General features: G+C 51.9%; 1 protein-coding gene, 1 long non-coding RNA gene and 1 pseudogene across 22 annotated transcripts, besides 5 other annotated features; 2 read left to right on the forward strand and 1 right to left on the reverse strand.

Annotated features, from left to right (window-relative positions):
* On the forward strand, positions 581 to 4,603 carry ALG1L11P (ALG1 like 11, pseudogene; annotated as a pseudogene).
* Positions 1,799 to 2,311: an enhancer, noted in NCBI's record as "H3K4me1 hESC enhancer chr8:12037424-12037936 (GRCh37/hg19 assembly coordinates)". NCBI's record gives its function as "activates a minimal SCP1, AML or CMV promoter by ChIP-STARR-seq in naive H9 embryonic stem cells {active_cell/tissue: H9 hESC(naive)}" and the evidence as "EXISTENCE:reporter gene assay evidence [ECO:0000049][PMID:30033119]".
* Positions 2,312 to 2,822: an enhancer, noted in NCBI's record as "H3K4me1 hESC enhancer chr8:12037937-12038447 (GRCh37/hg19 assembly coordinates)". NCBI's record gives its function as "activates a minimal SCP1, AML or CMV promoter by ChIP-STARR-seq in naive H9 embryonic stem cells {active_cell/tissue: H9 hESC(naive)}" and the evidence as "EXISTENCE:reporter gene assay evidence [ECO:0000049][PMID:30033119]".
* Positions 2,962 to 3,463: an enhancer, noted in NCBI's record as "H3K4me1 hESC enhancer chr8:12038587-12039088 (GRCh37/hg19 assembly coordinates)". NCBI's record gives its function as "activates a minimal SCP1, AML or CMV promoter by ChIP-STARR-seq in naive and primed H9 embryonic stem cells {active_cell/tissue: H9 hESC(naive and primed)}" and the evidence as "EXISTENCE:reporter gene assay evidence [ECO:0000049][PMID:30033119]".
* Positions 3,464 to 3,963: an enhancer, noted in NCBI's record as "H3K4me1 hESC enhancer chr8:12039089-12039588 (GRCh37/hg19 assembly coordinates)". NCBI's record gives its function as "activates a minimal SCP1, AML or CMV promoter by ChIP-STARR-seq in primed H9 embryonic stem cells {active_cell/tissue: H9 hESC(primed)}" and the evidence as "EXISTENCE:reporter gene assay evidence [ECO:0000049][PMID:30033119]".
* On the reverse strand, positions 3,990 to 16,821 carry FAM86B1 (family with sequence similarity 86 member B1 (gene/pseudogene)). Of its 21 annotated transcripts, XM_006716256.5 has the most exons (8): positions 15,859 to 16,017; positions 13,663 to 13,725; positions 11,692 to 11,772; positions 9,956 to 10,057; positions 8,584 to 8,717; positions 8,236 to 8,501; positions 7,260 to 7,409; positions 3,990 to 5,590 (listed from the first exon to the last, which is right to left on the reverse strand). In XM_006716256.5, exons 1-8 carry the CDS (start codon positions 15,952 to 15,954, stop codon positions 5,490 to 5,492), a joined length of 993 nt encoding a protein of 330 aa, XP_006716319.1. In that variant the 5' UTR covers positions 15,955 to 16,017; the 3' UTR covers positions 3,990 to 5,489. The 21 variants fall into 21 exon arrangements, 20 of the variants coding, with proteins under 20 accessions (XP_006716319.1, XP_006716320.1, XP_016869405.1 ...); XM_006716257.5 differs by lacking the exon at positions 11,692 to 11,772 and having other exon boundaries at positions 7,118 to 7,409; XM_017013916.3 differs by lacking the exon at positions 9,956 to 10,057 and having other exon boundaries at positions 7,118 to 7,409.
* On the forward strand, positions 7,620 to 24,410 carry FAM85A (family with sequence similarity 85 member A). The gene is made up of 4 exons (NR_146925.1): positions 7,620 to 8,981; positions 17,775 to 18,122; positions 20,588 to 20,680; positions 24,366 to 24,410. It is a non-coding gene; the product is annotated as a family with sequence similarity 85 member A (long non-coding RNA).
* Positions 17,118 to 17,687: an enhancer, noted in NCBI's record as "H3K27ac hESC enhancer chr8:12052743-12053312 (GRCh37/hg19 assembly coordinates)". NCBI's record gives its function as "activates a minimal SCP1, AML or CMV promoter by ChIP-STARR-seq in primed H9 embryonic stem cells {active_cell/tissue: H9 hESC(primed)}" and the evidence as "EXISTENCE:reporter gene assay evidence [ECO:0000049][PMID:30033119]".

A 24,410-nucleotide genomic window follows, 5' to 3' on the forward strand; every position in this document is an offset into this window, starting at 1 on the left:
CAAGGTGAGTCAGTGAGGAGGGAGAAAAGCGGAAGTGGTGTGGGAAGAGGCGGGGTCTGGGCCAGCTGCTGGTCCTGCTCTCCTCCCTCCTTTGGCCTCTAGGCTCCCAGGAGTGGTTTCGAACCTGCGCCGTGTGCTCTGGAGGCTGTGGCAAGGCAGGCGCGGCTTGGAACCCGCACCATGTGCTCTGGGGGCTGTGGCAAGGCAGGGGCAGCTTGGAACCTGCGCCATGTGCTCTGGGGGCTGTGCCAGGGCAGGGGGAGTCCTCGTGTCCCCTGCGCACAACACAGACAGAAGGCTGGGTCCACCCAGTGGGCGGTCGGGTGCCAGGCCAGTGCTTACCCCGCCATGTTTGCAGCCCGAGGCCAGCTGGCTGCAGGTGCAGGACTAGGCGTCAGGGGTCAGGGTGCACACATCCCTGCAGGTCTCGGGGCTCCTGGGTTGCTTCTGGAAGGGCACAGATGGGGCCTGACTGGAGCTGCCGAGGGGTGGAGCTTCTGGGGAAAGGATCCCTCCTAGGGGGAGTGTCTTGGGCCTGGGGCCACGTGGCAGGGACAGAGACGGGTCCATGGCAGTGTCTGCTCTTCTCTGTGAAGGCAAAAGGCCTCTGAGGGAGTATTACAGCCGCCTCATCCACCAGAAGCATTTCCAGCAGATCCAGGTCTGCACCCCCTGACTGCAGGGCCAAGGACTACCCCCGCTTCTAGGTGAGAGGCCAGCAGGAGGCTCAGGGAGGAGGCGGGGCCTTAAGCAGGGGGAGCAGGGGTGGGCATGATGTACTTTTTCTGAAAAGGTGGCTCTGGAGGCCACTTGGGGACAGGACATGGGCTCTGGCTGAACTCCCGGGAGGAGGCTACTTCCTGGTGTGCCAGCCCCTCCCTGCCAGGTCGCCCCAGAGGCCCTTTACCAAGGGGTTTGAGGAGGCCACGTCCTTTCAGTCTGCCACGCCCTCCATTCAGTCCTCTTCCTTCCTGCAGGAGGGCTGGGCCTGGGTTTGGGGCCACTGTTGCCCAGGTGTGGGAGGGCAGTGGCTTTGGGAGGAACAGGGACGATGTGTCAAACAGCGTCGCCTCTCCCAGTGAGATGGTTCTCCTTTGCCTGCATCTCTTTCCCCGTTGATTTCTCCAAGTGGGGAGTCGTGGCTTGGTCCTGATGCGTCTCTAGAGCTGCATCTTCCACCTTCCAGTGAGCAGAACAGTTGGAGTCTGAGGGCTTTTTCCTGGCAGGATTCTCCAGCTAGTCTTTGTTTTAGACAGTCTTGCTCCGTTGCCCAGGCTGGAGTGCACGATCTCAGTTCATGCAACCTCCGCCTCCTGGGTTCAAGCGATTCACCCACCTCAGCCTCCCAAGTAGATTACAGGATTACAGGAGTCCACCACAACAGCTGGCTTATTTTTGTATTTTTAGTAGAGACAGGGTTTCACCATGTTGTCCAGGCTGGTCTTGAACTCCTGACCTCAAGTGATCCTCTCGCCTTGGCCTCCCTAAGTGCTGGGATTCCAGGCGTGACCCATCATGCCTGGCCCCAGGTAGTCTTTAGAAATGTTAAGCTATTTGGCTTTATTTTCACACTGACAGCTGGTTTGTGGTGGGTGTGTTATGGTTTATTATTATTATTATTATTATTATCATTATTATTATTTTGAGACGGAGTTTCGCTCTTGTAGACCAGGCTGGAGTGCAATGGCGCGATCTTCGCTCACCGCAACCTCTGCCTTCCCAGGTTCAAGCGATTCTCCTGCCTCAGCCGCCTGAGTAGCTGGGATTACAGGCACATGCCACGGATTAACATCGCTAATTTTGTATTTATTTTTAGTAGAGATGGGGATTCACCATGTTGGCCAGGCTGGTCTTGAACTCCTGACCTCAGGTGATCCACCCGCCTTGGCCTCCCAAAATGCTGGGATTACAGGCGGGAGGTGAACCTGGGAGGTGGAGGTTGCAGGGAGCTGAGATTGTGCCACTGCACTCCAGCCTGGGTGACAGAGTGAGACTCTGTCTCAAAACAAAACAAACAACAACAACAAAAAAACAAATTGTGGTTACGTAGAAAAAGTGTCAACTTACATTTTCAGATGTCCCAGCCAGGCCGTGTGGCTGCTTGGCCAGCTTAAGCCACTTGTGCTTGGGGCTGTCGGGGGCCTTATCCAATTTTCACTCCCCTCGGGGGATGTTGTCTCACTGTGCTGGGAGGATTTGTGTTCCCAGGGCAGAGACCAGCACTCTGACCCACCCCTCTTGCCTAGCAGGGTTGGTGGACCTGGGTGTCTCTCTGGACACATCCTCCAGTGGCCTGGACCTGCCCATGAAGGTGGTGGACATGTTCAGGTGCTGTTTGCCTGCGTGTGCCGTGAACTTCAAGTGGTAGGAGCAGAACCCGAATCTTTCTGGGGATAGCTTCACAGATCCACCGCTGACGGGGAAGCAGTGCAGAGTGAGCTGCCCAAAGTGAGGCCCTGCCCCTTGGTCAGTCCAGCACACACTGGAGGCCACGAGGAGGAGCCCTGCGGTTACTGTGGCTGGGCTGAGCCTCACTGAAGTAGGTGCTTCCATTTAGAGCTCATGCTATATTTAGGTTGGTACAAAAGTAATCACGGTTTTTGCCATTAAAACTGAAAATTACTTTTGCACCAACCCAATATGAAAAAAAAATAAAGCACCTTAAATACTAGAACTCCACTCGGGGCTTTTGCTCCTAGAGTAGAATTGGCGGGAAATGCCTGCAGGCTTACATGGTTTTCTTTGTTTTTCTCTCCCACCATGTCCCTTTTGGCCAAGCTCACATGGTGGGTTTGAATGAGTTAAATGAGTGTCATGCTGTGGCCTCACTCCACCCAGCATAGACGGGTGTTTGGAAGGGTGGCATTAGAGGAGATTCTAGAAGCAGTAGCCCCAGCACAAGTTGAGCCCTTGGCCCCTGCTCAGCAGCCGGCTCCTGGATGGGATTCAGGGATGCGAGCCCCTCGTGTGAGCTGAGCTCAGGGAATGTGGGGATCAAATCTGGTGTCCTAGAAAAGTCATCTTTTATGTGCTGAACCAGTCCCCAGGGGGTTGCCTTTACTTGTTCCATGGCCATGGAATTAAGAAAAACATGCAAAAGTAATTCTTCAGTACTTGAAGAGCATCCAGCACAGAAGGTACAAACCTTCCTTAAGGCTCCCTCCTCAAATCGGTTTGGTCATTTTGATGTGCACCCCCCCAGGCCTTTATACCCTTCAGATGCCAAATCTAAGAACCAGCTCCCAGAAACCACACCCCCTGTTCCAAACCCCAGCCTGGCTTGAGCGTGGGGTGGGTGGGATCCCAGCTGGGCACCCCAGGAGTCTGGTGTCTTCCCCAGGCAGCTCTCAGGCTCCCTTGGTTCTGTCTGCAGTTTACATGAGCTGGTGAAACATGTAGAAAATGGCCTGATCTTTGAGGAGTCAGAGGAACTGGCAGCTCAGCTGCAGGTAGCCATGTCTGCCACCACGCCAGGGTGGGCAGGGTTCTGGAGACTGGCATCGAGCCACGCTCCCTGATCCCTGCTTCCCACAGCCAGGGTGGGACCATGGGGGGTCTGGTGGAAAAGCTAGTGGGGGAGCAGAAGTCACAGAGGCCTCCTACTCTGCTGTCCCATTTCGGTACAGTAGGCTCGGGAAAGTTAGGACACAACCCCACCTGCCCTCTGGATTTATGGAGCTGACACTCCATAAACGATGCTGGAGCCGGGTGGGCCGGGCTGCAGTTTAGGAAGTGATCGGATCAGGTAGGTGCGTGGGCAAAGGGAACTTCTGGGACCAGCCTTGAAAGATGGGTGGAATTCTGCAAAGGTTACTTGTTTCTTATTGCAAAAAGTAATACATCATTCTTGTCAACAGAATGATTGGGAGGATTTTCAGTAAATGTCCAGGTCAGAAGTCATTTAGACAGGGTACCCCAGTCTCTGTCAGAACCATGGTACTCTGTTGTGGTGTGAAAGTAGCCACAGATCATCTGTAGATTAAGGGGTGTGGCTTTGTTCCAACAAAGCTTTATTTACAAACACAGGCTGTGGGCTGGATTTGGCCTGCAGGCTGTAGTTTGTGATCCTTGATTCAGACAGTTTAGCAAGGCTGAAAAGAACACCCACACCCCCTTGTTACCCACAGATGGGTGGGACTGTGTTGGCCAGAGGCCGAGAGGAGGGTGCTCACAGGGGAACGTACAGCATGTAGAGGCCGGAAGGTGCTCCAGGGCACCAAGTGTGGGAAAGTGGGACATACGGGGAAGTTTCCAGAAAGCATGATGTCAAGTTGGAAGTGGAGCGCTGCTGGGTTGTGAAGGGTCTCAAGTCCAAGTGAGGGGGGTTGTGAAGGGTCTCAAGTCCAAGTGAGGGAGTTAGGGACTTGGGAGGGGTTGTTGTTGGGTCGGGGACCTGGGGTCATCCAAGTGGTGACCTGGGATGGGGTGGGGACAGGCAATGAGTTAAGCTCTGCTCTTTAGCATTTTGCAGATGCTTTTCTCAAACTTTTCTGATCCTGCAGGCAAGCTAAGCCAGTTCTGGAAGAACCTGCAAGAGTCTCAGCAGCTCTGATGGGATGAGAGCTGGGTGCAGACTGTGCTCCCTTTGGTTATGGACACATAACTCCTGGGCCAGAGGCTAAAACCCCAGGGCCCCTGCTGTCCTTCCCGCAGCTTCTTGGAGTCTCAGGGCAAAGCCTTTCGAGCAGCGCCTCCCAGTGGCCAGAAGCTGAAATGACGGCAGTGGTGTCACCTGGTGAATGACCCGGGAAGCTGTGGTTGGCCCTGATTTCTTCTTTGGAGTCTCTGAAATGCTTCCTGTCTTCTGTTCTTCATGCCCCATGCCCCTGCTAGCGTATTACTGTTCTGTGACTTCCCTGTGACCTCTGCAGTACTCCTCATCCTGCATTTGGTCTCCAGGTGTCACCTTTCTGCCGTGTTCCTAACACTTTCATTCCTGTCTTGAAAAAAGCGCCTGCTGCACCATAAGCCCTGGGATGTGGCAGCTGCAGCGGGCTTGGCTTTGTGAGGAACCGAGTGTGTCCAGGGATGTGGCAGCTGCAGCGGGCTTGGCTTTGTGAGGAACCGAGTGTGTCCAGGGATGTGGCAGCTGCAGCGGGCTTGGCTTTGTGAGGAACCGAGTGTGTCCAGGGATGTGGCAGCTGCAGCGGGCTTGGCTTTCTGAGGAACCGAGTGTGTCCACGTTGGGGGAACGTCATCCTTGATACACACGTTTTTATTTGCAGAAAGAAAATGCTATTTTTGGAGCTAGAATTTTCATGTCTGATTTATGATGATTTTCTTGAGAACCAGAACTGCTGGCAGAAAGGGGGCACCCACACGCCTAGACAGCTAATGTCTTATTAGAGGGCAGTTTTGATTCCTGATTTGGAGTTTAATAATCTCCAAACATTCCAGTCCAATGAAAGTTTTATCCACTTTCCCATATAAAAATTCTTCCCACGAGAGTGACTTGATTCTCACAATCCCTTTGGAGTCATGTGTGAGTCCTACAGTGTGAGGTTCAGCATTGCCATCTCCAAGTGCTCTCCATAGGGAAACAGTTTCTGGTCATGATGAGCTTCCGCTTCCCATCTGATCCCATCCCGGCCTGGAAACAAAGCACGTGTTTGAGGATGGCGGTGTTTGGGGACAGGACATGAGCGTTTTGTGTGGGGCTGCTAGGACAGGCCTGGCGGGGTGGGGGGTGTCTAAGTCAGTTTACTTGGTTCACAGGTTCCGAGGCCCACCCACATACCTAGAATTCGCCTCCAGGATGGGACCAGAACTCTGGTTTTGCATAGAAATGGCTAGCAGCAGGCACCATGCCGCTGTCCACTCTGTGCCTGCGTCTGCCCCAGCACTTGGCACAGCAGGACAGAAGCAGAGATCTGAACCCACATCTCCCTGGCTGCTCAGTCAACTCACTCTTCACAAAGCTTAGAAAGTGGCCGGGCACAGCCAGACTCTGTCTCAAAAAAAAAAAAAAGGTTGGTTGAGGCTTATACTATGTGTGCTGCTTGGCACTGTTTTTTTCACTTAAAAGATATTGCAGGTTTTTTTTCACGTAAGTATCTGAAGAAAGACTTCCTTTTTTTTTTTTTTTTTTTTTTTTTTTGCTTTTTTGCTTTTTTGAGACAGGGTCTTGCTCTGTTACCCACGCTGGAGTGCAGTGGTGAGATCAGGGCTCACTGCAGCCTCCACCTCATGGGCTGAAGCCATCCTCCCACCTCAGCCTCCCGAGTAGCTGGGACTACAGGTGTGTGCAACCACATCTGGCTAGTTTCTGTATGTTTTGTGAAGATGGGGTCCCACTATGTGGCCCAAGTTGGTCTTGAACACTTGGGGTCAAGTAGTCCTCCTGCTTTAGCTTCCTAAAGTGCTGGGATGACAGGCCTGAGCCCCGCGCCCGGCCAGCCTCCTGTGCGAGGTTGTGTGGGACTCTGTCATGGAACCCAGTATGCCTTCATGTGCTGGCTTGTTTGTTGACTCTGTAGTTAATGGGCTGCCCCACGTGGACAGGCACTGGGTCATCCATGTCTCTGTGTACAGGCAGAGGCTGCTGCGGGTACATCTGTGCACATGGCTGCCAGGAGGGGCTGTGCTCAGGGGGAGCTGGGGCAGAGGCTGGTGGCAATGGGGGGCTTGGGTGTAGTGTGGAGGCACGAGAGCCAGGTGGCCGGGCTGCAGTCTGCGGGAGCTCGGGGGTCACTTGGCCTCTGTGTGTCCTAGTGTCTTTGTCGGTGAGATGGGACAATGACAGCACACCCTCACAGGTGCTGGGGGTTGACAAATGTCAGGTCTGAGGACAGTGGCTGGCCCACTACGGGGCCAGTTTCCCTTCTCTATAGTCACCCTGCTCGTCTTCCATCAACTGGGTGCTCAGGACAGTGGCGTGGTGGATCCGCCTGTACAGCCTGTGCTCCAGCGTCCTGCAGTCCACAGCTGTGTCCAGCCCTGACCCCGACTGCCGCTCCCGCCACCTCCATTTTATAGATGAGGAAACCGAGGCCCAAGGGCTTAGGGAACCCTGCTCTGAAGCACATAGTAGGGCTGCTGGGCTCAGACCCTCCCTCCCTGTGCTGAGGTGTCCTCCTCCTGCCTCAAGCCCCCCACGCCCCGAGCCCACCCTGCTCACCGGCCTCTGCCCGAGTTCCCCGCATAGTGTGGGAGTGTGGAGCATCCTAGCTTTTCCCCAGCGCCCAGTTCTTTCACTTCCACTGGAGTCCTGCAGGGACAGCTCGGGCACCATGTAGGCCCGGGTGGGCGTGGGGGTTCACCTAGCTCGGTGGTGAACAGCTGGCACGTCTCTGGGTTGCGGACGGTAAAGGCCACGTAGACCTCAGGAGCCCGCTTGTGCTCCCGGCAGGCAGCCAGCCTCTGCAGGACCCCGACCAGCGACACGATGGCTTCTGGGCAATACAGCACGTCTACGGTGAAAGTTTCAGGTTACTGAAAGGGACAAGTGGAAAGTTCCAGTTCATGCTGACCTCAGCAGCAGGGCGAGGCCAGAGAGGCAGCGGTCATATGAGACTATTAGATGCCATTTGACCATTTGGGCCATTAGATGGAAAGGCAATTATTTGGGTGAAAAAGGAGAACCCTTATTAGAGAAAGCTGCAAAAGACCGAAGCAAAAGAAAAAAATCTCCAGACTCACTGGTGTCCTTAAAAAACCAGCTCTGGTTCTCGGCCTGTCTAGAGGGCTTTCAATGACAGAAAGCCTGACCCTGCCGTGAACTTCGTGTTTCAGGTGTCTGCCGATTGGTCTGCTGGCTTGCAGGGGTGGGCCTGTGTCCCTGGCCACCGCTGGACCTGTGGGTTTCAGGGCTGGGACCCAGGACTACAGGCAGAGTTCTGTTCCACCAGAGAGGGGACTGAGTGTGCTCACAGGGGTGAGGGGTTTTCGGTGGCCCAGCCAAACAGCACCTTCTCTCAAGGGCCCTGACCTCGTACCAGAAGTGGTTGTTTTCCTCCTGCGGTCTCTGAAGGACACAGGGCATGGCTCTGGGACAGAGCCATGTGGTGACGACTGTAACTGTAGTATGCCTGTCTCCAACAACAGGGCTGTGGCTTGAAGGTCACCTTAAGAGGCACCCCTGTCCTTTGATGTCACCCTGGAGGCCCAGAGTAACTCTTCTGGAAGCCCCATCACATCCATGCCCGACAGTGTCCATTGTTCCCTTTTCCCAGAGCCAAGAGCTGGGTAGAGCTGCAAGGACACCGCCTGCACAGGATGCCCGGGGCTGGGCATTACCTGCTGCAATGACAACATCTGGCTGGAAGGCAGAGAGCTGATGGACCATTGCTACGTCCCAGTCCAGCTGGGCCACTGTCACCCTGGGGCTGTCTAAGTTGCCAGTGATGTCTGCCTCTAATGAGAGGCCATTGAGAAGGACATTCCCTCGGAGCTGCTCGAGGACCCGGCTGTGAGGGTCGCTGAAGATGTATGCCCGGGGGCGGCACATCTTGCAGATGGCAAGGCCTGTGAGGCCGGCACCACTGCCAAGCTCTAGGACAGTCCTGGCGGGAGGAAAGGGGACCGTGTTTTCGACTGCACCAGGGTAAGCCTGCCTCGGTGCCCTGCCCTGTGCCCCAAGGTCACCTGTTAATGAAGGCTGCCGGGTTCTCGATGGCCCATTCTGCAAGGTAGAGGGCGGCATCCCATGTGACCAGGCCTGTGGTACCGTGGGAGATGATGGCTGTGCTCTTGGAGAGTGTGACTGAGCCTCCTGAGGACTGCACCAAGAGAGGGCGAGAGAGTCAGTCCAGCGATCAGAAGGCAAGTGGCTTAGAAGACAAGTAGCCATCCACCACATGGCTGAATAAACCATGACAGGACCAATCGCCACTCAGCAATGAGAAGCAGCTAACTGTTGACATACCAACAGTTGCACGGGCCTCAAGGGTGTCACGCGGCATGAAAGACACTCATCTCAGGCCACACAGGATTCCATCTATTGAACATTCCTGAGACAACGGAATTCTGGCGATGGAGCACAGGTCAGTGGTGGCCAGGGGCCAGGTGTGGCTATGAAGAGGTGGCTGCCTTGTGATGATTCAATATGCTATGTTTTTCCTTTGTGGTTTTCTGTATCTATGTTTTATCTCATTTTTTTTTTTTTTTTGAGCTCTGTCACCCAGGCTGGAGTCAGTGGCACGATCTTGGCTTACTGCAACATCTGCCTCCTGGGTTCAAGCAATTCTCCTGCCTCACCTGCCCAGGTAGCTGTGACTACAGGCGTGTGCCACCATGTCTAGCTAATTTTTGTACTTTTTTTTGAGACACAGATTCACTCTCGTTGCCGAGGCCGGAGTGCAATAGCACGATCTCGGCTCACTACAACCTCCACCTCCCGGGTTCAAGAGATTCTCCTGCCTCAGCCTCCCGAGTAACTGGGATTACAGGCGCCCACTACCACACCCCGTTAATTTTTGTATTTTTAGTAAAGATGGATTTTCACCATGTTGGCCAAGCTGGTCTCAAACTCCTGACCTCAGGTGATCCCCTTGCCTCAGCCTCCCAATGTGCTGGGATTACAGACATGAGCCACCACGCCTGGCCTAATTTTTGTATTTTTAGTAGAGACAGGGTTTCACCATATTGGCCAGGCTGGTCTCGAACTCCTGACCTCAGATCCACCCGCCTTGGCCTCCCAAAGTGCTGGGATTACAGGCATGAGAGACCATGTCCAGCCCTGTCAAGTATTCTTTGAGGACTGGGCACCAGGTCCTTGTGAAGCAGGTAGTGTGTGTCACCTATTGGACAAATGCCCAACAACCCCACGAGACATGCTGTTGTTGTTGAAGTGCTTGATTTACAGACAGGGAAACTGAGGCTAAAGAAGGTTAATGGACCTCATGTCTAAGACTGCAGAATGGGTGAGTCAGGATTTGAACCCACACCCACGTTTTCACTTTGTCTGTGCAGGAAGGGTATCTGGGCTGTGAGGGGGAGGAGGGTGCCTTTCTCATACCAGCAAATAGCTCCGGTGGCCCTGGGTGGACTCCTTGGCCATCAGAGTCTCCGTGAGCACCTCGTACAGTTTGTCCAAAGGCTCCGTGTGGACAGCCTCGTGCTGGGGGCAGACAGAGTGAGAGCTTGTTTGCTTTCGTTCTAATCTGTAAAAATGGCCAGATGATTTTCACCAAGTTTGGAGGGGAGATTTGGGATGGAATGGTGTAATACCGGCCAGCTGGTATATAAAATACTCACTTCGTTGGGCGTGGTGGTGTGTGTCGAATAGTTCCAGCTACTCTAAAGGCTGACGTGGGAGGACTGCTTGAGCCCAGGAGTTCGAGGACAGCCTGGGCAACAGAGATCTTGTCTCTAAAAAAAAAATTATTCCACTTGGTAGGGAAACCTGGATGGGAGGGCTTTCAACAAGAGGTGTTGAGAGGGTAGGGTTAGGTGTAGTCTAGGGCAGGAGACAAGGATTCCGTGAGAGCTGCCACATGACCATGACAGAGAGCTCTGTGTTTGGATCAAACACAGAGAGGAGGAAAACAAAAGGTGCTTTTAAGTGAGCCCAGGCAGAACTGTGAGGGCGGCCCATGCTGCAGGCTGTGGCTGTCAGCAGGCTGCTTCTCCACAGCTGGCCCAGTCCTAGGATTCACAGGGCAGCAGCAGGGTACACTGGGTGACTGCTGCCCTCTCGTGGTGGCACAGGGCAGACCTGCTGGTGACCAGAGATGCACCCTTTTGGGGAGAACTAGGGAGAAAGCAGGTATTGGAGAAGCAGGGGATTGTTTATTTGTTAAAAGTGTGGCCCTTTCACTCAGCAGGTCTGCTACTGCCTACTAAGGAATGGCCTCTCGACATCCTCATGTCAAACCCTGCATGTTCGGGCCCATCTTTAAAATCCATCCTAGGCCAGGTGCGGTGGCTCATGCCTGTAATCCCAGCACTTTGGGAGGCCGAGGCAGACGGATCACCTGAGGTCAGGAGTTCGAGATGAGCCTGGCCAACATGGTGAAACTCTGTCTCTACTAAAAATACAAAAACTAACCAGACATGGTGGCATGTGCCTGTAGTCCCAGCTTCTTAGCAGGCTAGGCACGAGAACTGCTTGAACCCAGGAGGCAGAGGTTTCAGTGAGCCGAGATTGTGCCACAGTAATCCAGCCTGGGCAACACAGTGAGACTCTGTCTCAAAAAAAATATATAAATAAATAAATAAATAAATAAATAAATAAATAAATAAATAAGTAAAAAATAAAATCCATCCTATATCAGTCAGGAAAGAGCTCATTCCAGCAGGATCAATGCAGAGAATTCACCAGAGGAACTAGTTCCAAAGGTATGGCAAGAGCTAAAACTTCCAACAGGGGCCCGTGGGGCAACCCAGAGATGGACAAGAGCAGGAAACTCCAAACCCTTTGGTGGGCAGGACAGAGGGTGTGGGTGATGGTTCCAGTGCTGTGGGCTGGTCCAGCCTGGTAGGAATGAGAATCCATATGCTAGGAGCTGAGGCCCCAGAGAAGCAGCTGCTGTGGAAACCCCAGAGGGCAGACTCAGGGAGAGATGCTGGCCTCCCCTTATTCCCACCCTGCACTGTCTCCCATGGGTCACACTCAGCTGCAGCCAGTTGCCTGGGGAGGGCCCTGCCATGCTGGGGTTTGCAAAGCAGGCCCAGGGCCTGGGAAGGACGGAGTGTGCAGCACGCCGGTGGCTATGCTGTCCAGCTACTGGGCGGACACTGCCTATAACTGACCTTTTTGATGAGTTCTGAGAGAAAGCACCAGGCATACTTGACTGACGGCGGGTGCTTCACACACACAGGATGCCTCACAGTCTACGGCAAAGGACAGAACGTTGGTTGCTTGAGAGCCCGTCTTAAGTCTCCTATGAGCTTCAAGCCAACACAGCAGAGGGCAAACTCCAGGCTACCCGATCCCTCAGCAAAGATGCAGATGGACACAGCGTTCTGGCCCCATGCATCTGAAGTTTGTCTTAAGATATAAGCCGTTTCCTAAAAATGCTTCCACTGCAGTGGCACAGGCTATGGCAGCATTTCTAATGCCCATTCTGAGCAGGAACACAGGGCATGTGGGCCCAAACCACCTCCCTCCCAGGGGAGCCAGTGTGAACCAGGGTTTGCAGTAAGGTCAGTCGCCAACTATCTGGCTTTATGGAAGAGGCGGGAAGGCCCACTCAGCAACTGCTCTCTGGGAGCGTGTGTCCCTGGGGACAGGATGGAGGGGAGGGGAAGCTCAGGGTGACTCCAACTAAAGCCGAGAGAAGCCAAGTGCAGGATGAGCAAGTTCCAGGCAGTGGGAACAGCCTGTGCAAGCTCTGAGGTGGCCACGGGCTGGCACTTGGAACGGAGGGCAGAGGGACTGGTGCAGCAGGAGTGGGGACGGCGGGAAAACAGGAGCCTGGAGGGAGAGGGAGGAGACCGTCCGCAGCGCCTGCTGGCTGGGAGGGATGCAGATTCTGCCCAAGGGCAGCAAAGTACCCCAGGCAATACACAGGCTCTTCATGCTGTTGCTGGTTTTTCATTTGTTCTGACCCAGAGTCTCGCTCTGTTGCCCAGGCTGGAGTGCAGTGGCCCGATCTTGGCTCACTGCAGCCTCCACCTCCTGGGTTCAAGCGATTCTCCTGCCTCAGCCTCCCGAGTAGCTGGGACTATAGGCGTGCACCACCACACCCAGCTAATTTTTTTTTATTTTTAGTAGAGATGGGTTTTTGCCATGTTGGCTAGGCTGGTCTTGAACTCCTGACCTTAGGTGATCCGTCCACCTCAGCCTCCCAAAGACCTGGGATTACAGGTGTGAGCCAGTACAACCAGCCTTGTGCTGGGTTTTAAAGCAGCTCTCCCTACATCTCATGCTTCACCACCTATGAGAGTGAGGCTCAGGGTGAAACTCAGAGCAAGGTGCGAGATAACTTCAGGTATCTCCATGCTCGAAGCCCTGACCTACTGTATTGCCCCGAAAGTCTTCCCTGCTGTGGCTGCATCTTTTCCACGTGGATAATCTTGGTTCATCTCTAGCACAGGAATTCTTCACCGGGGCTCCTAGGATGGGCTGGGTGGGTGGGCGTGGAGGATGTCTGCCTCCCCTGAGTTTGTATGGAAAATGTATTCTGGTGCACTTCTTTCTGGGAGGGAGTCTATTGCTTTGTCTTTTCAGAAGGGCTCATGGCTCTTTGAAGGTGAAGACCCAGGATGCAGGGTGATCTGCACTTGGCCCTCAATGCCAAGGTCAGCCTGTGGCTGGGCCAGGTGGTGATCCTGGCTCTCACTTGCATGCAGATGCACTTGAGTCCAAACCCCACCCTGGGCAAAGCAAGGGCCCATTTAGGTCTAGAAGAGACAGGAGTGGGCGGGACAGGCCTCATGAATGCAAAAAAGAAAGTCTCTGAGCATCTACCAAATGCTAGAAGCTGTTTTGCACCTGTCATCTCTGTTTTTGCTGTGGATGGTTTAAAAAACATTCCCTAGATTTCCCCCCTCTTGCAGAATTTTGTATATTCTGATGTCTTTTCTAAGTCTTACATAGAAAACGAAACCGTAGGAGCTGTCGGAGGTGCTGACACCCTCCTGAAGTGCTGACTCAATGGTTTTGTTCTTTGAAGAGGGCTGTTTTTAAAGGGTACAAGCACACCTGTGCTGCTTCTCTCAGGTCTTCCGGAGAGATTCAAGAGGCAGGATCATGAGTCCCAGGGACTCTGGGATTCTTACCTTCTGCAAAATATCCCGCAGCAGCTCAGAATCTGATGAGTCTCTTAACTTTGCCTCTAAGCTCTGTGTGGATGGGAGAGAGAGAAATCTCAAGGGCCCATTCACAGGAACATTAAACACGCAATAGAATGTGTTGGCAAAGCTCTATGTGATCCCTCCCTGGGGACGTGGAGCCAGTTGGAAGTGGAAGCCACAGCGGCTGAAAGCCTGACCTTCAGATGTCGCAGGGTGCACCTGGATGAGTCACAGGAAGAAGGCTGACTCTTGGTCGCATTAGTCCTGGCTACTCAGCTGCCACCCAGGTCATGGGCCAGCTCCCTGGTTACACTGGTCAGCCAGGAATTACCAGGGCAGCCATGGCACCAAGGTTTGATGGGCTTGCCATCTGAGTTTAAGTGGAAATGCAGAATGTGCCCATACCAGCCTGGGTTACATTGTCCTCTTACAGGGGCCTCAAGCCCAGCAGTGAGCTTTGGCTCCCGAGTTAGGCAGACTGTCTCGGCTGGTATGTGACACATGGCAAGGCACTTCATTGCTTCAGAGCTCCTTCTATGCCATAAAAGGCCCTACAAGGCCTGCTGCTAATCCCCCTCTCTGGCCTGTTCTCCCTCACCACTGGCCCACCCTGCTCACTCCACTCCAGCCACACTGGCTGCCTTGCTGTTGTTCCTCAACCACAGCTGGCTTATTTCCACAACAGGGCCTTTGCATATCTTGTTCCCCAAACCCTTCCCATGGCTGGCTGCTTCACCACTCAGGTCCCAGTTCAAATGCCACCTCTTTGGGGAAGGCTTCCCTGATTCCCTGACTTTGGTGACAGTTCTCCCCAGTTGCTCCATTCACCATTTCCCTGTTTTATTGGCTTTAAAGCCACTCTCATCTGGTCTTTTCTTGTTTATTCATTTATTCTCTGTCTCTCCCATGCAAGCAGAGCCTCATCTATCATGGGTACTGCCGATCCATGGTGCCTGGCTCACGGAAGGCATTTATTAAACATTTTGAGACTGAAGAAAACACTAGCTAACACCGACATGCATTTACCATGAGCCAGGCACTGATCCGCAGGCATTTGTACTCAACGCTGAGAACAACCCTAAGAGGTAGGTATCATTATATCCCCCATTTTATTAATAAGAAAACAATAGCACAGAGAGATACAGTCACTTGCCCAAGGTCACACAGGGCCAGGGGTTGGGCCAGGATTCGAAGCAGGCAGGCTGTCTCCTGGGTCTGAACTCTCAACTACTTCACCCTAATCAAACAATCCCTCTGGTCAAATGTGAGTGATAATAATAGTACCCACCTGGTGGGTGTTGAGGGTGAGCCCAAGTTAGCATTCAGTGTGGGCATGTGAACAATTATAGTCAATATTGAATGGAGACCTATGATGCTTTTATGAAGGTTTCTATTTTGGGTTAAAAATGCACACATTTCTCCTGACCAGAAATGATCTCTGAGTGCTAAATATTTTATGTCAATGGAATAACACAAATGATTAAGCAACACCCCATAAAATGGGGCAGACCCAGGGAGGAATATATATCCCAACTGACTCATCCAGTGAGCTCAATGCACATGAATTACAAATGGAACGGGGTGCATTAAGCCCCTCTGCTGGCAGAAGGGAGGCTGCTGCCTGCCATGTGCCTGTGCTGAGAATGGCAGGTCCCCAGGGAGAGGAGAGGCCACCCCCTTCTCTGTCTCTTCCATCACAGGCGTGAAAGCCTCAGCGCATGAGCCGATTCTGTGCAGTGCTCGACATACAGATGAGAACACTGAGGCACGAGGGACAGCCTGTGACCTGGTCACCGCGCTCAGGAGGAGGTGGTTACCCGCGGGCCTGAGGGCGCTGACTTTTTAGAATGGGCGAGTGCAGCTGTGTCCCAGTGACCAGAACGATTACTGCCTTTAAAAAGTCGTGAAAATGATCGTGAACCGTACCCCACACGGAGCGCGCGTCTACCCCCTAAGGCGGTGGAGACGCCCCCAGCTTCCGCCGCCAGCTCGCGGGGCAGAAGGGGTGCGAGCGACTCTGGCCAGGCCCCAGGGACGGGGACCGGGTCTCGCGGCCCTGACCGAGGAGAGCCCAGGAACTCACGTGGCCGGAGCGCCGGGGGTTTCAGCACGGAGACCCATCCCGTCTGCCCCTGGACTCCCGCGACCCCCGCGGGCCTCTCCGCTCGCCCCGCCGCCCACCTGCCAGGGGAAGGAGCGCAGTGTGCGCACCGCCAGGAAGCGGCGCTCAAAACCCTGCAGCAAGAGTTCGGTCCCCGCGTTCTCCTCGGGCGCCATAACGTGGGCGAGGCCGCAGCCGTTGCCGGGAGACCTGGAGGAAGCCGGGCCTGGACTGAAGAGGGGGCGGGCCGAGGGCAGAGCGCGGGGGCAGAGAGGGGGCGGGGCCTGGGGATAGGGTCAGGAGGTGCGTCCTGGGGGCGGACTCTAGGGCGGGGCCAAGATGAGCGTTAGGAGGGCGGGGCCTGGGGTAGGGCCAGGATAAGCGACATCGGGGCAGGTCCTGGGTAGAGTCCAGGTTGGCGGTTCCTGGGGCAGGGCCAGGATAGGGCGATCCTGGAAGCTGGGCTTCGGAAGCGTCCAGGTTGGTGGCGTCCTGGAGGCGGTGCCTTGCGTGGGGGCAGGATAAGAGTCCTGGAGGCGGGCATTAGGGCGCGGATAAACGCCATTGGATTCAGGAGGCGGGACCCAGAGCAGAGCCCAGGAGACAGGTCTTAGGGCGGGGCTAAGGCCAGGCCCAGAGAAGGGCTCAGGAGGCGGGGCAGGGGCGGGGCGTTGACTATGTCGTAGAACATGGCCAGGCGGTGCGCGGACTCTGGGAGGCGAAGCTTAGGACGGGCCCACTTGGGGAGGGGCCCAGTGCCCGGGAGGCGGGGCCGAGTCCGGGCTGGGCTGCGCTCAGGAGGCGGGCCCTGGGAGGCGGAGCTTAGGGAGGGGCCGGTGTTGGGAGGGACCCAGGGACTGGGAGGCCGGTTGGGGCTGGGCTCAGGGGCCGAGACCTAGCTGGGCTTGGGGCGGGGCCGAGACGGAGCGAGGGGTCCAGGGTGTGGGAAACGGGGAGGGGTTTGAGGAGGGGATCGGAATGTGGCTCAAGTTCGGGAGGCGTTACCTGCGGAGGGTTTGAGGCAGGCCCAGGAGCGAGCCCATGGTCTTCCGACGCGGGGCCAGGGGCGGGGCCCAGGATCCGGAGCTTCGTGCGGGGCCGAGTCCAGGTTTGGGGCCCGGGAGGCGGGGCCAGTTAGGGCGAGGGTCCCTGGGATCGTCGGGTCAGGCCTTGGGCTAACGTAGGCACTCTCGCAGTTCCTCCGCCTTCAGGAAGGTCTTTTCAGCAGGGGCCTTACGGGTGCATGCTTCGGTCCTGGAGGCCTTATCCTAGCCTCCTCTCCATCAGCGCCACCCGTCTGGGGCCCGAAAGGAGGGAGCTTTCCCTCTGTCCCCCAGCCTTTGGACTGTCACTAAACAAGCCATTCGTTCATCAAATACTTTTTAAGCGCCTACCATGTGCCTGACAAGGGAGATGTAACGGTGAGAAAAACTAGGTGTGGTCCAGGCCCTTCAGGGGCTCAGGTGCTCGTGGAAGAAGTGGACATTGAAGTACTTATCACACAAATGAGGATAAAAGTACGATAACGATATCTACCACGAAGGTGAGCAGACAGAGCTAGCGGGGCTTGCAGGAGGAGTTTTGATCTTGCAGGGACAGGAAGGAGGAGTTAGCTCCTGCGGGGTGGGATTGGGGGTGGTGGTGATATAGACGTGGGGACAGAGTGGAAAACAACAAAAATATAATTATTTTAGTTCAAAGTTATTGTGTCTTGAGTTGAAAGGCAGGGCAGTTAGCAACACAGCTTAGATTTCAGTACTGCTCCTGAAATCTGAACTGTGTTCAAAGTCTAAAACGTTTACCTTAGCAAATTCCTCATCAAACTCCATTTGGAAGAGTCCCGAGAGCTAATTTGTTAAGTATACTTGCAAAAGGTAGATGAGGAGACAGATAAAATCTTATTACCTCTTTCAGATGAGAGGCACTTGAGCCCTGCTCAGCTATGAGAATAAGAGAGGGGAATTAATTCTAATTGAATACACTTGTTCTCTTATAGCTGTTGTTCCCCACCAGAACCAAATGAGCGCAAGATCTGACAAAGAAAAAAAAAGGTTCATCTTTTATTCCTCCAAACACTTTCATTTAAATCAAGAGGATGGGATGTGGTTATTGCTGTGTTTTTAGACAGAATCAACGGTTTCTGGGTCTGAGATGTTGCATACACCTTCTCAGTCCCTGTATCCTGAGATGGAGTCACCTGAGAATCCACAGCAAGTCCTAACCAGGGATGGGTCTGGGTGATTAAGGAAGGTTGGCTTCAGAACTGGGCCAGGGGCACTGCTTTGCTTTTGCTGTTTTGATCAGCTCTCTGCCTGAAGGAGACAAGAAAAACCAACGGGAACAGGTTAGTTATACTGATAAATCCTGGGCTTATTTTATTAACTCACATAATAGCTATTGTCTTTCCTCCAAGGAGCAAAAGGGCATATACGGTCAATGCCATAGTAAGTAACACTGTATTATGTTATACTAAAATATTAATAAATCTAGGTTGGTTCAGTCTTTCCTGAGTCCACAGATTGGAAGCAGATTGAGGAAGGACGCTAGTGGACCACAGAGCTGAGCCATGCACACAGAAGAAATCTTTTTTTCTTTTTTTCTGGAGACGGAGTTTTGCTCTCTAGTTGCCCAGGCTGGAGTGCAATGGCGCGATCTCGGCTCACTGCAACCTCCACCTCCCAGGTTCAAGCGATTCTCCTGCCTCAGCCTCCCGAGGAGCTGGGATTACAGGCGTGAGCCACCCTGCCTGGCCACTTTTGTATTTTTAGTAAAGACAGGGTTTGAACACCTTGGCCAGGCTGGTCTCAAATTCCTGACCTCAGGTGATCCACCCACCTCTGCCTCCCAAAGTGCTGGGATTACAGGCATGAGCCACCGCGCCTGGCCAGAAGAAATCTTTATCTTGGTGTGCAGTGTCTGGTGAGGGACAAATGTCATCTCTCTTGGATCTGAATCTGGAAGGATCAAGGCACTGAAGGGATTTTTTTGTTTCAGACAGTATCCCTCTGTCGCCAGGCTGGAGTGCAGTGGCGCAATCTCAGCTCACGGCAACCTCTGCCTCCCGGGCTCAAGGGATCCTCCTGCCTCAGCCTCTCGAGTAGCTGGGACTACAGGCACGCGTCACCAGGCCCAGCTAATTTTTGTATTTTTAGTAGAGACAGGGTTTTACCACGGTGGCCAGGATGGTCTCAATCTCTTGACATCATGATCCACCTGCCTTGGCCTCCCAAAGGGCTGGGATTACAGGCGTGAGCCACCACGCCCGGCCTCACTGAAGGGATTTTTTTAATGTCACGTGGCTCTCACAGGTGCGGTGTGTTTGGGTGCAAGTGAAGATTACGACTGATGCTTAAAAACAAATGTAAAATTCCAGGTGGTGTTGCTATGGGGAGCAGCTTTAGGACAATCTGAGTGGTTTCAGTTGCAAGAGTGTGCGTGTACGTGCAAGTGCTACAGTCAAGATTCAACTGCTGGCTTTGAGGGCCTCTTTAAGAACAGTAATGATAACCTAAGGCAGTTTAACAGTATGGAATGGTTACCTTTTAGAAGTTAAGCTATGGGCATGGAAGTTCAATCAGTGCATTGAAGTTTTTCCTTTATCTCTCCTATGGTTAATGGTTTCTGCAGAAAAGGACCAATTGATTTCTTTCTAAAACGTTGCTTCAGGGTGTAGAGACCTTTATAGGTCATGTTTCAACTTACAGAAAATTTTTATAGTTCAAATATAAATTAAGTTCAATGTGGAATTTGTAATAGAATTTCAGGTGAAGTAAAATTTCCACTTTCCTTAGGCTGTTTGCAGTGCCCAGCAGGCCCCATGATATCGAGATGGAAGTTCTGTTAAAGGAGGAGATTGATCAGGGATGGGCAGAATAAGGAATATGGGCAGCTCAGGCTAATGATACAATGATTGAGATGTAGAAAGAGGGTCAGGCACGGGATAACGCCTGTAATCCCACTGCCTTGGGAGGCCAAGACAAGAGAATCGATTGAGGTCAGACCAGCCTGGTCAACAGAGTGAGACCTAACCTGTACAAAAAAAAAAAAAAAAAAAAAAATTAGTTGGGCATGATGGTGTGCACCTGTATTCTCAGCCACTTGGAAGGCTGAGGTCAGGGGATCCCTTGAGCCCAAGAGTTTGAGGCTGCAGTGAGCTATAATCACATAACTGTACTCCAGCCTGGGTGACAGGGTGAGGCCCTGACTCAAAAAAAAAATTGAGTCAGGGAAAAAATTTGAAATCTTAATCCTCAGTACCCAGGAATGTGACCTTATTTGGAAATAGGGTCTTTCTAGATGTAATCAAGTGACAATGAGTCATCCTGGATTGGGGGCTGCTGGTGAGGGGGCAGATACAATGACTGGTGTCCTTATAAAAGAAGAGAATGAGGGCCGGGCGTGGTGGCTCATGCCTGTAATCTCAGCACACTTTGGGAGGGTGAGGTGGGGGGATCACTTGAAGTCAGGAGTTCGAGACCAGCCTGGCCAATAATAACAATAAAAAAGCCTTTTTAGATTCCAAGCCACTGAAAGAAAACTGTCCCTTAGTTAATGTCATGCTTATTGGATCCATGAAGTCTTTGAAAATTTAAACTACAAGGACACTGCTCTCTGTGGTGGTGGAGAGAATACCAAGGATTTAAAGGTCTTTAAGAAAGAGAATGTAGAAAGCGTACCCATTGGAAACAGCACGATGATGATAATCGTACTGACAGTAATAATAAGCTCAAATATATAGAGCTTACTATGTATCATGAATTGTTCTGAATGCTTTATAAATATATGTTACCTCCTTTACCCTCATGACAGCCCAGTAAAGGCGCCATTCCCCATTTTACAGCTGGGGAAACTGAGTTACAGAGCTTGTCTGCACTGAGTCATCAGGAGCAAATGCTAGATCAGGTAATTGAACCCAAGCAATCTGGTTCCAGAGCCAAATAGATGTATTTTTTATGTTATACAAACATATACATATATTTTTAGGGGAAGGGTGGGTGTAGGATGGGATGAGGATTCTGGGTAATTGCTTGGTAAATACCAAATACCTTTCTTGTCTGTCCTTCTTTTCAAATGATAAAGTAATGTCAGTTGCAACACTTTTTTTTTTTTTTTTGAGAGAAGGTCTAGCTGGAGTACAGTGATGCAGTCACAGCCCACTGCAGCCTCAAATTCCTGGGCTCAAGCAATCCACCCACATCAGCTTCCCAAGTAGTTGGGACTAGAGGCCCACAATACCATGCCCAGCTAATTATTTTAATTTTTGTAGAGATGGCAGGTGGCGGTGAGGGGCGGGCGGTTTTGCTATGTTGCCCAGGCTGGTCTCAAACTCTTGACCTCAAGTGAACCTCCTGCCTCAGCCCCACAAAGCTCTGAAATTATAGGCATGAGCCACTGTGGCTGGCTACAATACTATTTATTTATATTTTAGACCAACAGGTATTCTACCATATAAGAAATATGATGTTCTCTGTACATTGAAGAGTTGGTCTAATATTTGGCCTGGTGGATGGAGAAATTGCCTGTCTGCTCCGCTCTGGTTGAAGAAACCAGTCTGACTGTCTCTGAGGCTATGGAGCAGTCCATGAAGAATGAAAGCCCTTGGCCAGGCACATTGGCTCACACCTGTAATACCAGCGCTTTGGGAGGCCGAGGCAGGTGGATCACTTGAAGTCACGAGTTTGACACCAGCATGGCCAACATGGTGAAACGCTGTCTCTACAGAAAATAGAAAAATTAGCTGGGCCTGGTGACACGTGCCTGTAATCCCAGCTACTCAGGAGGCTGAGGCAGGAGAATCACTTGAACCTGGGAGGCAGAGGTTGCAGTGGGGAGCTGAGATCACACCACTGCATTCCAGCCTGGGCGACAGAGCGAGACTCTCTCAAAAAAAAAAAAAAAAAAGAATGAATGTCCTCATGATGGCCTCAAGCACATTGGTCCCTGAAGAGAGCCAAGGAAGGCCCACTTTACTCTGCACTGCAAAGCAGGCAGGTGGACAGGATGAGAAGTGGATTCAGTGACAGGCATTGACCCAAAGGATTTTCTGCCTAATGGTCGGTTCAGCAGAAGATTAAACTGAGCACAGCATCCTGTTCCCTCAAACTGTCTGGTTGGTCAGTGGGGAATGTTCTTGTCTCGTTAAATGTCCTCATGCTACTGTCAAGATATCCTGTTACAAAACATCATAAACCAGGTTTACAAATAGGCCAGGTGACTGTGGAATTTCTCCTTGGCAAGGCCTTAGCTATGGGCATGCGATTGGTGTGCAGTAATCACAGTGTTCCGGGCCACTTGAGGGATAAAATATACCTTAGGTGATAAACTGTTGTATTTTAATGTGAATATTTCCACCAACACTAAACAGTAACCCCATGAGTTTTCTCATACCTGTTACACTGTGGAGTTGCAACAAGCTAACAAGCAAGTTGCAAACAGAATTATCGCATTTGGCTCTTATTCACAGCCAGGGTTCTTCAAGCTGTACCTGGGACAGTCTTCCCTCACATGAGGTTTATAGCATCATTTATTTCATTATTTATTTATTTTTTGAGACGGAGTTTCGCTCTGTCGCCCAGGCTGGAGTGCAATGGCGCGATCTTGGCTCACTGCAACCTCTGCCCCCCCGGGGTTCACGCGATTCTCCCGCCTAAGCCTCCCGAGTAGCTGGGATTATAGGCACCCGCCACCACGCCCGGCTAATTTTTGTATTTTTAGTAGAGATGGAGTTTTACCATGTTGACCGGGCTGGTCTCAAACTCCTGACTTCAGGTGATCCACCCGCCTCAGCCTCCCAAAGTGTTGGGATTACTGGCATAAGCCACAGCGCCCGGCTATAGCATCATTTAAACTTTGTTTCTGCCATGAATTGTTAGTTGGTAGTTAACAAAAAATAGACCACCTCATTTATGTCTCACAGTTAGCATTGGTTTTTGTGTTTTCTTTAGGCTTGTTTTTTAATTGTTTTTAAAATTGTGAAACAGGGTCTTGTTCTGTTGCTGAGGCCAGAGTGCAGTGACACAATCTTGTCTCGCTGCAGCCTCAACCTCCTGGGCCCAAGCAATCCTCTCACTTTAGCCTCCTGAGTAGCTGGGACTGCAAACAGGAGCCACCACCCCTGGCTAATTTTTAATTATTAATTTTTTTTTTTTTTTTGAAATGGAGTTTCGCTCTGTCACCCAGCAGGTTGGAGTGCAGTGGCGTAATCTCGTCTCACTGCAACCTCCACCTCTCGGGTTCAAACCATTCTTCTGCCTCAGCCTCGGCACCCACCACTATGCCTGGCTAATTTTTAAAAAATATTTTTATTAGCGACAGGGTTTCACCATGTTGGCCAGCCTGGTCTTGAACTCCTGACCTCAAGTGATCTACCTACCTCAGCCTCCCAAAGTGCTGGGATTACGGGCGTGAGCCACCACGCCAAGCCTAATTTTTAAATTTTTTGTAAAGACCAGGTTTTGCCATGTTGTCTAGGCTGGTCTTGAACTCCTGGGCTCAAGTGATCCTCCTGCCTTGGCCTCTCAAAGTTCTGGGATTACAGGCATGGCCCTTATGCCTGGCCCTTAAAGCTGCTTTTTAATAACAGCTTTATTGAAAGATAATTCACATACCATACAATTTGCCCATTTAAAGTGTATCATTTGGCCGGGCATGGTGGCTCACACTTGTAATCCCAGCACTTTGGGAGGCTGAGGTGGGAGGATCGCTTGAACCCAAGAGTTTGAGATGAACCCGAGCAACATGGCAAAACCCTGTCTTGACCAAAAATACAAAAAAATTAGCTGGGCATGGTGGTGTGTGTCTGTAGTCCCAGCTACTGAGGAGGATGAAGTGGGAGGATGGTTTGAGCCTGGGAGGTGGAGAGTGCAGTGAGTAGAGATTGCACCACTGCACTCCAGCCTGGGCAACAGAGCCAGACCCTCTCTCTAAATAAATAAATAAAGTGCATAATTCAGTGGTTTTTAATATATTCTCAGAGTTTTGCAGCCATCATCACCATCAATTTTAGAAATTTTAATTACCCCAGAAGAAACCCTGTATCCATTAGCAGTCACCCCTTATTTCCCCCTGACTGTCCCCACCCCTGGCTCCTGGCAACCATTAATCTACTTTCTGTTTCTTTGGATTTTCATATTCTGGGCATATATATATATATATATATATATATATATATATATATATATGTGTGTAATATATATATATAATCATCTAATATTTGTCTGGCTTCTCTCACTTAGCCTAATGGTTTCAAGGTGTATCCAGGTTGTAGCATGAATCAGCCCTTCATTCCATATTGTGGCTGATTAATGTTCCATCACACGGGTGGACTGTACTTGTTTGCTTATTCATCTGTTGTTGATGGGCATTTGCGTTGTTGCCACCTTTTGATAATTATGAATAGTTTTGCTACGAGCATCTGTGTGTGTCTTTGTATGAACAGACTTGCATATTTTTTGATATGGGCAAATGAGAACCAGCGGCAGGGGGCCTCTGTGGTGACGTTTTTGGTGATCTTCGTGTACTCTGTATAATGATCAGCCACTCAGGCTTGGGGGCAGCACTTAACCTTACATTCTTTCTTTTTTTAAAGATAGGGTCTCTCTCTCTGCCACCCAGGCCAGAGTGCAGTTGACGC

Source organism: Homo sapiens, chromosome 8, assembly GCF_000001405.40.
Source record: "Homo sapiens chromosome 8, GRCh38.p14 Primary Assembly".
Classification (NCBI taxonomy): Eukaryota; Metazoa; Chordata; class Mammalia; order Primates; family Hominidae; genus Homo; species Homo sapiens.